Genomic DNA, 13,342 nt, shown 5'->3' with positions numbered 1-13,342 from the left:
TTGAGTGAGTGAATGAGTGGATGAGTGAGTGAGTGAATGAGTGAATGAGTGAACGAGTGAGTGAATGAGTGAGTGAATGAGTGAGTGGTTGAGTGAGTATGAGTGAGTGACTGAATGAGTGAGTGAGTGAATGAGTGAGTGAGTGGATGAATGAGTGAGTGGATGAATGAGTGAATGAGTATGAGTGAGTGAACGAGTGAATGAGTGAATACTTGAGTGAGTGAGTGAATGAGTGAGTGGATGAGTGAATGAGTGAATGAGTGAATGAGTGAACGAGTGAGTGAATGAGTGGATGAATGAGTGAATGAGTATGAGCGAGTAAGTGAATGAGTGAATGAGTGAGTGAGTGAATGAGTGAGTGGCTGAGTGAGTGAGTAAATGAGTGAATGAGAGAGTGAGTGAATGAGTGAGTGAGTGAATGAGTGAGTGAGTGGATGAGTGAGTGAATGAGTGGATGAGTGAATGAGTGAATGAGTGGATGAGTAAGTGAATGAGTGAGTGGATGAGTAAGTGAATGAGTGAGTGGATGAGTGAGTGGATGAATGAGTGAGTGAATGAGTGAGTGAGTGAGTGAATGAGTGAGTGAGTGGATGAGTGAGTGAGTGAGTGGATGAGTGAATGAGTGAGTGAGTGGATGAGTGAGTGAGTGAGTGGATGAGTGAGTGAGTGGATGAGTGAGTGAGTGGATGAGTGAGTGAGTGGATGAGTGGATGAGTGAGTGAGTGAATGAGTGGATGAGTAAGTGAATGAGTGAGTGGATGAGTGAGTGGATGAATGAGTGAGTGGATGAATGAGTGAGTGAATGAGTGGCTGAGTGAGTGAATGAGTGAGTGAGTGAGTGAATGAGTGAGTGAGTGAGTGGATGAGTGAGTGAGTGAGTGGATGAGTGAGTGGATGAGTGAGTGAGTGAGTGGATGAGTGGATGAGTGAGTGAGTGAGTGAATTAGTGGATGAGTGAGTGAGTGAATGAGTGAGTGAGTGAATGAGTGAGTGGATGACTGAGTGAGTGAGTGAATTAGTGGATGAGTGAGTGAGTGAGTGGATGAGTGAGCGAGTGAGTGAATTAGTGGATGAGTGAGTGAGTGAATGAGTGAGAGTGAATGAGTGGATGAGTGAGTGAGTGGATGAGTGGATGAGTGAGTGAGTGAATGAGTGGATGAGTGAGTGAATGAGCGGATGAGTGAGTGAGTGAATGAGTGAGTGGATGAGTGAGTGAGTGGATGAGTGGATGAGTGAGTGAGTGAATGAGTGGATGAGTGAGTGAATGAGTGGATGAGTGAGTGGAGTGGATGAGTGAGTGAAGGAGTGAGTGAGTGAGTGAATCAGTGAGTGAGTGAGTGGATGAGTGGATGAGTGAGTGGATGAGTGAGTGAGTGAGTGAATCAGTGAGTGAGTGAATGAGTGAGTGAGTGGATGAGTGGATGAGTGAGTGGATGAGTGAGTGAGTGAATGAGTGGATGAGTGAGTGAATGAGTGAGTGGATGAGTGAGTGAATGAGTGGATGAGTGAGTGAGTGAATGAGTGAGTGGATGAGTGAGTGAATGAGTGGATGAGTGAGTGAGTGAATGAGTGAGTGGATGAGTGAGTGAATGAGTGGATGAGTGAGTGAATGAGTGAGTGAGTGAGTGAATGAGTGAGTGAGTGAGTGAATGAGTGAGTGAATGAGTGAGTGAGTGGATGAGTGAGTGGATGAGTGAGTGAGTGGATGAGTGGATGAGTGAGTGAGTGAGTGGATGAATGAACGAGTCAATGAGTTTGTGAATGAGTGAGTGAGGGCCCCAGGGAGCAAATCCCTGTCTGAGGGCTCCTGGCTCCTGGAGCCACAAGGCTGGGCCTCAGTAAATAGAAAATTACAGTATCCAGGCAACGATCAATCAAGTATTTTTCATAAGCACAAAACATTTAAGGGGCTAAGTGGAGGAGCATAGCAGGTCAGGGTTTTAATGTTTTCTGAAAGCTGTGAGATATCAGCCTCAAAGCCATTGATTTCCATTTGGGAAGTGTGTGGCGGGACCTTTGCGTGCTTCCTGGCATGGCCTTTGTGTTATGTGCCTGCGTGTGTGTGCACATACTTGCATGTGGCAGACTTGCGCTGGCTATCCCAGAAGGGTGGGGACAACTGTGGTTCCTCCATGTTATCTTCTGTCTGCCAAGCACTTAGTAGGTGCTTTAATGGGCATTCTCTCACTGACTCCTCGCCACAGCGCCACAAAGAAGGTGCTGTGAGGTCCCCATTTCTCAGATGAGAAAACCGAGGTGCAGAGATGAGAGGATTTGCTCAGAAGCCAGGCACGGTGGAGTGAGGCAGGATCTCTCTCTCACTGACCACTCCATCTGGGGCTGAGGCACAGGAGTGCAGCGTTCACACACCAGGCATTTACGGGACGTGACAATGCACCACATTCATAGCTGCCATTTATTGAGTGCTTGCTGTATGCCAGCAGGGAGTGAGTACTTTACACGGATTCTGTCCTCAGTCCTTCATTTCACAGAATCTTCTGTGGTACTGCCAGGGAAACTGCTGGCCAGGAGGTACAGTATTCAGCCCGAGGTTGCACAGCTAGCGGGTGCCAGGCCAGGTTTTTAGCTTGGGTCTGGTGACCCTGAGACCTGGTGGGCTGCACTGCCTGCCGGCTGGGGCGCTGTGCGAGGGTCTGTTTGCCTTTTGGTGGCCCAGGACAGTTCAGTGCCTGCTGCCTTTGGGGCGTGACCATAGTGGCGCCTTTCACTCAGAAGCCTGAGAGATAACGTAGATGCCCCTCTGTGCTGAGCGGATCAGAAGCCCGAGAGGGCCTGGTTCCCTGGTTCCAGGTCGGAATCTGGAGGCCCTCCCTCCCTGGCCTAACCTGGAGGCCACCCGGGCCTGACCCTGCCCTCAGGGTGTGAGAGGCTCCCCGAGGTCTCCTGTGGCTCTCTAGAGGCTTCTCCATCAAGATCTCTCCCCTGGGACCCAGACCCAGCCTCCCTGAGCTCCAGGCAGATGGAGTTTGCCCTGAGGACCACCGCTGAGGGCAGAATCTGGCAAGTGGGCTGGAGGCAGAGCTGGGCAGCAGAGGGTGCTGTGCAGCAGAGGCCTCCTCACCGTGGGGCCTCTGCATGGGGCTTCCCCTCTCTGAGCCTCAGTTTCCTCATCTGTGAAATGGGACATGCGTGCTACCTTGCAGGGCCACTGAGCATTAGGGATGAAGGCCTGCAGCCCACCCGGTGTCTAGCCTCACTCAGTCATGGCCGTGGAGCTCACTGCCCGTCTCTACTACTCTTGCGGGCTGCGTTACTGTTACCCTGCAGGCACTCTGCTTTGCGGACCTGAGACCCAAGGCGGGACACAGCGGCGGTTTCTTTCTGGGGCTCCCACATGGCCCTCGGGCCAGCAGGACACTGGGGCAGAGTGGCTGGCCCCAGTGGACCCCTGACCCCACCTTTCCCCTCCGTCTCTTCCTCACCTCCTGCTGTTCCCAGCTGGCATGTGACTCTCAGCTCTGGGCTGGCACCCATCCACAGTGGGCTGGAGCAAACACACAGCAGCCCATGGGTTGTCCTGGGCAGCGGGCCTTCGGGGTGAAGGAGGCTGGGAGGCCGGGAGCCAGAAGGACGGCTGAGGCCTGGAGGGGCAGGGGGGAAGGGCAGAGCCATCCTCATAGGCAGGGCTCAGGGTCATCCCGGGCATCCAGTCCTGCCTCCCCATTCCCCCAGGACCTCTGCTCTTCCCCCAGGAAATGGACAGGCAGGAAGGCAGGTGAGGGGAGGGGGCCCTGGGGCTTAACTGTGGGCAGCTGCGACCTTTCCAGTAGCAGGGCCACGTGTCGGTCAGGAGACCTCATCCCTGTGGCCCATGGCCCTGGGTTTGAGTCCCCACCTGGCCGGGTCCACCTGGGTGCCCAGGGACAGATCACCACATTTCCTGGAGCTTTGGTACCAGAATCTGTAAAGGGCGACAGCCTCTCCCTGAGGGCAAGGCTGCAGATACCGGGACCCGACCTGCAGGGCCGGATTAGAAGCTGTGCCTGGGGGTGGTAGTGAAAACAAGGCCCCCACTCCTCTCCCTTCCTCCTCCCCTCCCTCCTCGTCATCTCCTGCCATCCTTCTCTCCCTAAGCTTTCCTTCTCCTTCCTCGTCTCTCCCTCCTTCCTCCTGCCTGTCTGGGCAGTGGACCCCAGCATGATATGGAAGGAAGAAATGGGGGTGCTGCCTTCAGGGTTCCCCTCTTAGCAGAAACAGGGATTCTGGCCCCACCCCAGGGAAGCACCACCCAGGAGGTGACACTCAGGGAACAGAAAGCATCTTCAGCCAGCCCTGACAGGGAAAAGAAGTTTTGTTTTCTAACCGCAGCAAGAGAGACTTCAGTGGGACACAAGGAGGAATCCCCAGGGGTGAAGGCTGCAAAGCTCGTTCTGAAATTGAGATGGGCTTGGCAAGACTCCTGCCTCCTTGACTGTCTCCTCTGCTCAAAGCAAGCAATTTTGCTTCCGGGTGCTTTTCAGTAATTGCAATAATAAATTGAATAATTAAGTTAAATCCACAGAAGAGAGTTAAATATTAATTTCTAATAAGCTATTTGGAAAGTGTCAGCAGTGGAATGTGAATGTGCTGGGTGCTCCAGTTGCCCAAGCAGAGAAGGGCCTCAAGGCTCCAGGGCCACCCAGGGTGGGGCGGGGAGGGCTCAGGGCCACACATGCCCAGCTTCTCACAGGGGGCTGGCAGCCAGGCATTTGGACCCTGAGTGTGTCGGGTGTCGGCCTGTGGGTCTGGCCTCAGGCAGTCAACAGGGGCAGATGCCTGCTTGGGCTGGGCTCACAGCTCCCTGGCAGCTGAGGCTCTTCATCGAGGGGTGGCCCATGCTATTTGGCAGAGTGGTGAGTGGGATGAGAGGGGGACATGTCTGAGGGACATTGGCAGTGAGCTGAGGGATGGGCACTGTTCCCAACCAGACCAGGCTCTGAGTGGTCTGTGCTCCAAGAAGGCCTAGAAACCCACACAGTGAAGCTCCAGGGAGCCCACAAAGTGGTCTGGCCCTCGTGGTGCCTCAACAGGCAGCTCTCCAGGGTGGACACTGGATATGACCTGGTCACACGCTGAGCCCTGACCCTGGCCACACCCTGAGCCCTGACCCTGGCCACACCCTGAGCCTGATCCCGGTCACACTGAACCCAGATCTTGGTCACACGTTAAGCCCTGACTCTGGTCACACTCTGAGTCCTGATCCTGGTCACACTGAGGCCTGACCCTGGCCACACACTGAGCCTGATCCTGGTCACACGGAGCCCTGATCCTGGTCACACACTGAGCCCTGACCTGGCCACTCTCTGAACCCTGATCCTGCTCACACTCTGAGCCCTGATCCTGGTCACATACTGGGCCCTGATCCTGGCCACACACTGAGCCCTGATCCTGCTCATACTCTGAGCCCTGATCCTGGTCACACACTGAGCCCTGATCCTGCTCATACTCTGAGCCCTGATCCTGTTCACACTCTGAGCCCTGATCCTGGTCACACACTGAGCCCTGATCCTGGCCACACACTGAGCCCTGATCCTGCTCACACACTGAGCCCTGATCCTGCTCACACCCTGAACGCTGATCCTGGCCACACCCTGAACGCTGATCCTGGTCACAAACTAAGCTCTGATCCTGGTCACACACTGACCCTAATTCTAGTTACATTTTGAGCCCTGACCTTGGTCACAGGCTGAACCTAAACCTGGCTATGGACTAGCCCTGACCCTTCATTGATGAGGCCAGAAAGCATGGTGCATGCACACTGTTTCCCTGGAGCAAAAAGTTGATGCTGACGTAGCTGAAGTGAGTAGGTCAGAGTCACCTTTTAGGTGATAAACCCAGTTCAAGGGCTCACCCCTGCCCATGACCACCTGCCCCTGCCTGCCTGCTGGCTCTCGCCTCTGGCCAGCATTCAAGATCTCAGCACCATGGACAGCAGCAGAGGGGCCCAAGCCTCTTGTGGGGTCAGCCATTCCTTACGCCGTTGCTTGCTTGCTTTTTCTTTCTTTCCCTTTTTTCTTTCTTTCTTTCTTTCTTTCTTTCTTTCTTTCTTTCTTTCTTTCTTTCTTTCTTTCTTTCTTTCTTTTTCTTTCTTTCTTTCTTCTTTTTATTTTATTATTTTATTTTATTTTATTATTTTATTTTTGAGACAGAGTCTTGCTCTGTTGCCCAGGTTGGAGTGCAGTGGCCCTATCTCGGCTCACTGCAACCTCCACCTCCCAGGGTTCAAGTGATTCTCTTGCCTCAGCCTCCTGAGTAGCTGGGATTACAGGCATGTGCCACCATGCCTTGCTAATTTTTTGTATTTTTAGTAGAGTCAAGGTTTCACTGTGTTAGCCAGGATAGTCTTGATCTCCTGACCTCGTGATCTGCCTGCCTCGGCCTCCCAAAGTGCTGGGATTACAGGTGTGAGCCACCGCGCCCGGTCCTTAGGCAGTTTCTCCACGACTGTTCACCTACCGTCTCCTCTCCCTGTTTCATCTCCCCTCTGATGGGGGCTGAAACCCCGGTTCCCCTGCTGTCTGGTGTCCAGCCCAGTGTGGGGCCCAGGGATGTCCGAGGCAGATTTGTCGACTGAGAGGAGGATAAACAACCAGGCAGGGTCGGTGCCAAGTATCTGCCCATTTTACAGATATGAGGACAGCTCAGAGGGGTTGATCCTTGCCAAGGACTTTGGGCCGGCCTGAGTCTGTGCCTCTGCTCGTCCCCCACCCCAGGCTTTGCTCCTCTCAGGCAGGAGGGAGAGGATGGAGTGAGGCAGAGCCCTGTGCCCCGTGCCCAGGCTGCTGACCAGTGCGGGGAGGGGTGGGGTGGGACAGGGGGTGCTATGCTGCTGTGCCAGGCCGGGAGGCCGACACCCTCCAGCCTCATCTCCCTGAGAGCCAATTTCCATAACCCTGCAGTAGCATCTTCCTGGAGACCCCTCTTGGGCCCCCGAGCGTGTGGCCAGAGGACGCCAGAGCCCAGGCAGCTCCTCAAGTCCCAGTGATTATACCTGTGCTACTCAGCTGATCAGGGAGAGCCCAGGCCTCATCCTTCCCAGCCCCACACCCCCAGCCCCTGCCTCTCTGCACTGCACCAGCGTCCGCCCATCTGTTCCAATCCAAAGATCTCCCCAGCAGCATTCATTTCAGTGCCATATGGCTGAGGCTCAGCCCTCAGAGGAGGGGCGGGGGCACCATGGCAGAGGTGGGAGCTTCTTCTACACCGGGCCCTGGGGGTGAAGAGACCCAGCTAGGGGTCTGGAGGAGCTGGGGCTGAGGGGCGGCAGGGAGTGGGGAAGGCTCATGGCTTGGGCCTAGAGGATGCCATGGGAACCTTTCCCCCTCAGATCTGCCCCATCACAGGGCCACTCAGCCGGCAGATGCCACATGCCATCTGCTGAGGCAGGCAGAGGCTGGGCTGAATTTGCACAGGGCCCGAGGGCCATCCATCCCTGTATCCCCAGCCAGGCCTCACCCCGAATTCCATGGCACCACAAAGCCAGCCTGGGGTGCAGGCGGAGGGTTGGCCCATTGACCTTCAAGCCTCCAGAGCTCAGGGGAATGTGGCCTGCACTAGATGCTGAAGGGCGTGTCCAGGCCCAGCTGGGTGGGGCTGAGCTGGCAGCCTCAGCAAAGGTGCCCACATGGGGCTGCCACTGCCAGCTGGCCTCTCACAGGTGTGTACTGGGTGGGGCAGGGACTTCCCTCCCAGGCTGCTGCCCCCTTGGCCTGCCCTTCCCCTCTCTCGGCTCAGTCTGCCCTCCAGGTGTGAGGGCAGGGAGGACTCCCTGGTAGGTCACGGGGGACAGCTCTCCTGGGGGTTCTCAGGTTCGAGGCTGGGCCCTGCTGCCCTGGCTTGGACAGAGTGTGTGTGGGGAGGCTGAGGGGTGGTGGTGGACAAGGGCAATGGATGAGACCCAGTTCCCAATCTTGGGGGACACATGTGGGGATGGGAGGGGCAGTTCTGGCCAGAAGATGGGGGCATCAGGCACTGCAAGGCTGCTCCCTGACCACCATTGCTGCCACCTCGCATTAGACCCTGTCCACTGACACCAGGACACTGCGTTGTGTTGAGGGGCACGCTGAGCACCACCATCCTTGGGGCGCCCCCACCCTCATCCCCAGGCAGCTAGGAAGTGGGGGGTGCCTCCGAACACAGCTGGATCCTGGTCTGGCAGTCACTCTGCCAGAGCAGTGCAGTGCCTGGGAGTTGGAAACAGCCGTGCACATCACAGATTTGTTCACTCGATCAATACGCATTCATGGTGTCCGTGCGGGCCCTGGCCTGGGCCCGGGGACACCTCTGTGGACACCTCCATGGACAGGACAGGTCTCTGCCTGCAGGTGCAACTGTCTGGCTAGGAGCATGGACAGAGTGTGATGAGGCCAGAGGTGAAGCCCCTGAGGTGGGAAGCGCTGGGGGAGGGAGCCCTTGTCGGTGAGGGGTCCTTATCAGCTCAGCTGCTGTAACCAAGCACCACAGGCGGCTTCTACCACAGAAGAAACTGCTCTTTGCCCTGGAGGCTGGAAGTCCCAGATCAGGGTGCCGCCAGGGCTGGGTTCTGATAGGGCCCTTCTGGGCTGCTGAGGGTGACCTCTCCTACATCCTCACGTGGCGGAGGGAGGGCGGGAGCTCTTGGGGCCTGGATCCCACCAGGAGGCTGCACCCTCAGGACCACGGCACTTCCCAGAGGCCCCACCCTTCACAGCATCACCCTGGGGGTTATTTTCGCCTTTGAGTTTTGGAGGAACACAAGCACTCAGACCGTAGCAGGGGCTGGAATGAGGCTGGTTGTGATTTTAAACAGGCCTCACCGAGAGTGGGGTGCAGGGAAAATCATTCCAGCAGAGGGAACAGCCCAGGCCCAGCGCAAGGTAGACCTTGGGCCTGGCAGAGCCCAGAGTTCTGGGCAGGAAGTGAGGGGCCAAGTTTTGGGGATGACTGGAGAACTATCCCGAGGGATCCAGGGACTGGGTGCAGTGGGGCACAGACGGGCACCATCCCAAATCCGGGGTGGCGGGGAGAGGAGGTGGCAGGGGTGGGGCAGCCCCAAGGGGATTCTGGATGTGCCAAGGCCGAGCCCCATGGCGGAATGAAGGGTCCAGGGAGGCCCTGTGGTGTGGATGGGGCCAGGCTGGAGCTGTGGGTGGGGAGCGGGGTCTGCCCTGACTCCAGCTGCAGCCCTGCAGTGGCCGCCCATCCTCCTTTCTGGGTTCCCAGGGCCAGGCGGGCCGCACCCAGCGTCATCGCCTGCTCCCTGGACCTTGGCTATGTCAGAGTCGGCCAGTCCCTGAGCCCTGAGGCCCTCAGACCCTGGCCATGCCTCTTGCCAGCCCTGAGGACCCCCTCATACCAGCTATGGAAAGCCTTGGGGGCAGGACAGGTGTCTCCAGGGACTGGCATTTTGGGGACAATCCTGGAAAGGCCAGGGCTTCCCGGGGGGGCTGGCTCTGATGGGGAGCCCCACAGCACCGGGTGCCTTTTGGGGAGAATCCTGGAAAGGCCAGGGCTTCCTGGGGGGCTGGGCTCTGATGGGGAGCCCCACAGCACCAGGTGCCTTGGCTCAGCTCCGCCCTGCAGGAGCCGCCTGCACATCACGTGGGCCACCTGCTGGGCACCTGGCTCAGCACCCAAGAGGCCCCTCACTGGCCCAGGCCCACAGCCTCACCCTCCCCTCGCCTCCCTGCTTCCTGTGGTAATTGGATTTCGGGGAGCCAGCAGTGAGTGTGCCACCAAGTCCTGAGGGGCCCCCTCCCCAGCTGCCTCCTTCCTCTGCTCCTCCAGAAGGCCCTGGCCTTTTGCTCCTGGCCGCAGGGAGTTTGCCGCCCACAGCCCTGTCTCCAGCTGCCTCTGCCCACGGCCAGGCAACTGGCGTTTGTCCTTATTGGACTTTTATAGGGGTTTTCAGTTTTTTGTTTTGAAAGTAGATTTATTGGTTGTGCAAAAATGATACATGCTTGCTGCAAAAAAGTCATCATGGAAAAGTACAGAGAAGCAGCAACTGCCCCCTTGCCATCTGCCCAAGGCTAGAGGGGCACGTGATGGGGCCTCAGGAGCAAGTGGCCTGCTCCCCAGGAGAGGGGCTGGAGGAGGGGCATTCTCCCCAGCCCCGGAGTCCGCACAGGATTTCCCTGGCAGGGAAGGATTAGAGAGGAGGGGAGGGAGGGCAGAGTCGGAGGGGAGAGAGGGAGGCGGAGGGGGTAGGGAAGGGGGAGAGGAAGAGGGGAGGGAGGGGAGAGAGGGAGGGGAGAGGAAGGGAGGGGGAAAAGGAAGGATTGGAGAGAAGGTGGGGAGGGGGAGGGAGGGAAAAGAGAGGGAGAGTGAGGGAGGGGAGACAGGAAGGTGGAGGGGGAAGGGAGGGGGAGGAGGAAGGATTAGAGAGAGGGAGGAGGAGGGAGGGGGAGGAGGAAGGATTGGAGAGAAGGAGCAGAGGGGGAGGGAGAGGAGAGAGGGAGGAGAAAGGATGGGAGAGAGGGAGGGGGAGGGAGGGAAGAGAGGGACCGGGCAGGAGAGAGGGAAGGGGAGGAAGGATTGGAGAAAGGCGGGGAGGGAGGGAAGAGAAGGAGAGGGGACAGGAGAGGGAGGGACAGGGGGGGGAAGGATTGGAGAGAAGGAGGAGGAGGGGAGAGGGAGGGGCCAGGGAAGAGGTAGGGTCGTCTCGTGGGCTTGGAAGTCAGGTGGAAGCGTGCCCAGGAGAGGGAGGGCCGGTGGGTGCGCCAGGCAGGGCCTGCTGTACTGGGCCTGGGGAGCTCCGGTGGACTCGGGAAGGCTCTAGCTGCAGGAGTCCGCAGCCTGGGCACATGGATGCGGCCAGGAAGGATGGACTGGGCAGGGATGGAGTGCAGGGCAGGGGATGGTGCTGAGCGTGGGGATGGGTGACCGAGGCCTGCGTGGAGCCTGACCAGGGCCAGGAGAGTCTGGTCTGGCCCCTGCAGCTGCAGGTGGCCACTCCCCTCTCAGGGCCCTACCTCCATGGACACTGTCAGCCCCCAGACCAGGCCCAGGTGCTTCCCACCCCACCCTCTGGCACTCTGAGCTCTCCCTGTCACCTGGTCAGGGCCCTGACTGAGCCTCCACTTTCTCATCTGCAGCATCGGCCGCTGAACCGTCAGCTGGCTGTGGTGTGGGCTCTCCAGCCCCGAGCACCCCTCCTGGCCCGGAGCTGGGAGCTGATGGAGTCCGCTGCGTTGTCAGCTGATGCCGTCACTTGGCCTGCAATGGACCCGAGAGCTTCACAGCTGCCTGCTGTCCTCCCCTGCACTGACCCCACTCGCCCCTGTGTCGGCCCCAGCTGAGCACCCGAATAAACCGCTGTGGCTTATCCAGCCACGTGCCTGTCTTCACCTGTCAGGGACCCCTGAGATGAAGCCTGGGTGGGATGTGGATGGGAATGGAGGCCAACAGGACTGCAGGCGGCAGGCTGGGGCTTGCTGGGGAGTGAGTGTGGCTGTGTGTGAGCTTGTGTATGAACATGAACCTGTGCTCACAGCTGGGGAGGGGCATGCTGGGGGCTTTGCTGTGGTGGAGGGGTGGGAAGCTGGCTTGGTGCTGCGTGGAGCCAGGGCACTGCTCCTTGCCTGGGGCTGTCCCAGCCCCCACCAAGAGGGGCTTCCCCGAGGAGGAGGCTGCCTGAGTGGCCTGGAATGCCACACTGAGCCCTTGATGGGCGGAGGTCGTTTGTCTTCCTCCCTGAGGGCCTAGGACAAGCCCTTGCCCCTCCTGAGACCTCAGCTTCCCACTCCGAAAGCAAAGGGCTGGCTTTGGCCCTGGCTGCTCCCAGGCTGTGGCCTCTCTGCTGCTTGCCACCCAGCTCCACGTTGGGGGCATGAAGGGGGTCCCTGGCAGGGTACAGCCTGCTCTATGGCAATCCCAGGCTCCTCTTCTCTGCACCTGTTCCCCCAGGAGTAGGGAGTAGGACCCCCAAGAACAGGAGGGTCCATGCAGAGTGGCTGCTCCGCCCACCGTGGCACAGAGGGCACCAGGTGGGCAGTGCACTGAGGGCAAAGCGTCTCACCAGCTGCCCCAGGCTGCGTCAGCACAGCGGCCAGCACTGAGGCGTCCCTAGCACCCTCCTCAGCCAAGGACTGAGGGTGGGGGCCCACAACAGACCCTGCAGGGCAGGCAGAGTCTGTGACCCCCCCAGGAGACAGTGCGCCCCCTTCCACGCGCATCCAGCTAGGTCTGCAGATGCTGGTTCCTGCTCAGGCAGAGGGAGGAGATGGCCCCAGCCTCTCCCTGCCCCACGCCCTCCGCCAAGGCCTGAAACCCCCACAAAGCCAGCACCACACATGGTGCTTCAGGGTTTTAGAGATTCTGTGAAGCTATTTCTCAACAATTTTCTTCCCAGGGGCCTGAGAAACACACCACTGAGGCAGCACTGCTGGGCTCAGTGATAGGTAGGGGAGCTGGGCAGACGGTCCGCCCCCGAGCTGCTGCCACCTTCTCAGATTTGCTGCTGCAGCAGGCGGGCCCCAGGATGTCCGAGGAGGTGTCAGGGAGCAAATTGGATTTGGCACCTCCTGGCTGCAGGTGTGAGGGCTCCAGAGGCTGAGGAGCCCAGACTCAGTCCAGGCAGGCCGCATTTGCTGGGAGGCTCATGATGAGGCTGAGGGAGGAGGCTCTGGGGGCAGGGCAGGCCGAGAATTGATGGTGGAGGGGCCAGGTGCTCACCACCCAATTGTCTCCTACGCAGCTGGGAGACAGCCCGTGGGCCGGGGTCACGTGCACAGTTTACAGATGAGGAAATGGAGCCGGGAGAGGAGGGGCTTGCCTGCAGGGAGATGCCTGAGCCAGGCTGCCAGGGAGGGAGGACCAGGCTGGGGGCTCTGCCTTCGCTCTCTGTGAGCTGCGTGACCTTGGAGGCTATGTGGGAGGTCAGCCCACTGTGGAATGCAGCCCTGTGACTGGCTGCCCTGAGCCCCTGCCCCGTCAGCACTTCCCCGGGGTGGGCCCTGGGTGGGAGCAGGTGTTCTGGGGTGAGGAGTTCAGTCTGAGAGCCAGCAGGAGGGGAAGCCAGGACAGTGCTGCCTTGGCAGCAGCTGCTACCACCTGGCCAGACGCGGCCTCCCCACTCAGGACTGAAGGGTCACAGTCACCTTCAGGTCCCCTGTCTGGAGCAGCAGGAGGCTGAGAGCCCTGCCCGCTGTCCCAGCCAAGCAGCCGCAGCCAGACAGGCCCACCTGGCAGGTGTCCATCTGGTGCCAGGACAGGACAGGATAGGAGAAGGGGTGGACGGGAGGGCAGTGCCACGGTAGCACCTCGGGAGGCAGCAGGCCACTGAGGGAGGGCGTCTGTGCACCTTCACTAGCCCCCTCCTTCTTGAGAGGCCAAGGCCCAGAGAGAGACTGGGCTTCCCCAAAGT

The 13,342-nt window shown here is 58.7% G+C and overlaps 1 protein-coding gene across 3 annotated transcripts in view, besides 1 other annotated feature; it reads left to right on the top strand.

The window, feature by feature from the left end:
• Nucleotides 1-11,306, top strand: part of TSNARE1 (t-SNARE domain containing 1) — a 194,950-nt gene extending 183,644 nt beyond the window's left edge. For all 3 annotated transcript variants that reach the window (NM_001366901.1, NM_145003.5, NM_001363740.2), the window contains exon 14: nt 11,073-11,306. The gene's annotated coding sequence lies outside the window, so the exon portion shown is untranslated. The remainder of the gene's footprint in view (nt 1-11,072) is intronic.
• Nucleotides 3,175-4,063: an enhancer, noted in NCBI's record as "H3K4me1 hESC enhancer chr8:143300684-143301572 (GRCh37/hg19 assembly coordinates)". NCBI's record gives its function as "activates a minimal SCP1, AML or CMV promoter by ChIP-STARR-seq in primed H9 embryonic stem cells {active_cell/tissue: H9 hESC(primed)}" and the evidence as "EXISTENCE:reporter gene assay evidence [ECO:0000049][PMID:30033119]".
• Nucleotides 11,307-13,342: the final 2,036 nt, after the last annotated feature.

The sequence above is a fragment of the Homo sapiens genome, chromosome 8 (assembly GCF_000001405.40).
Source record: "Homo sapiens chromosome 8, GRCh38.p14 Primary Assembly".
Lineage (NCBI taxonomy): Eukaryota > Metazoa > Chordata > Mammalia > Primates > Hominidae > Homo > Homo sapiens.
The sequence above is the reverse complement of the archived record's forward strand: the minus strand, read 5'-3'. Positions and strand labels throughout refer to the sequence as shown.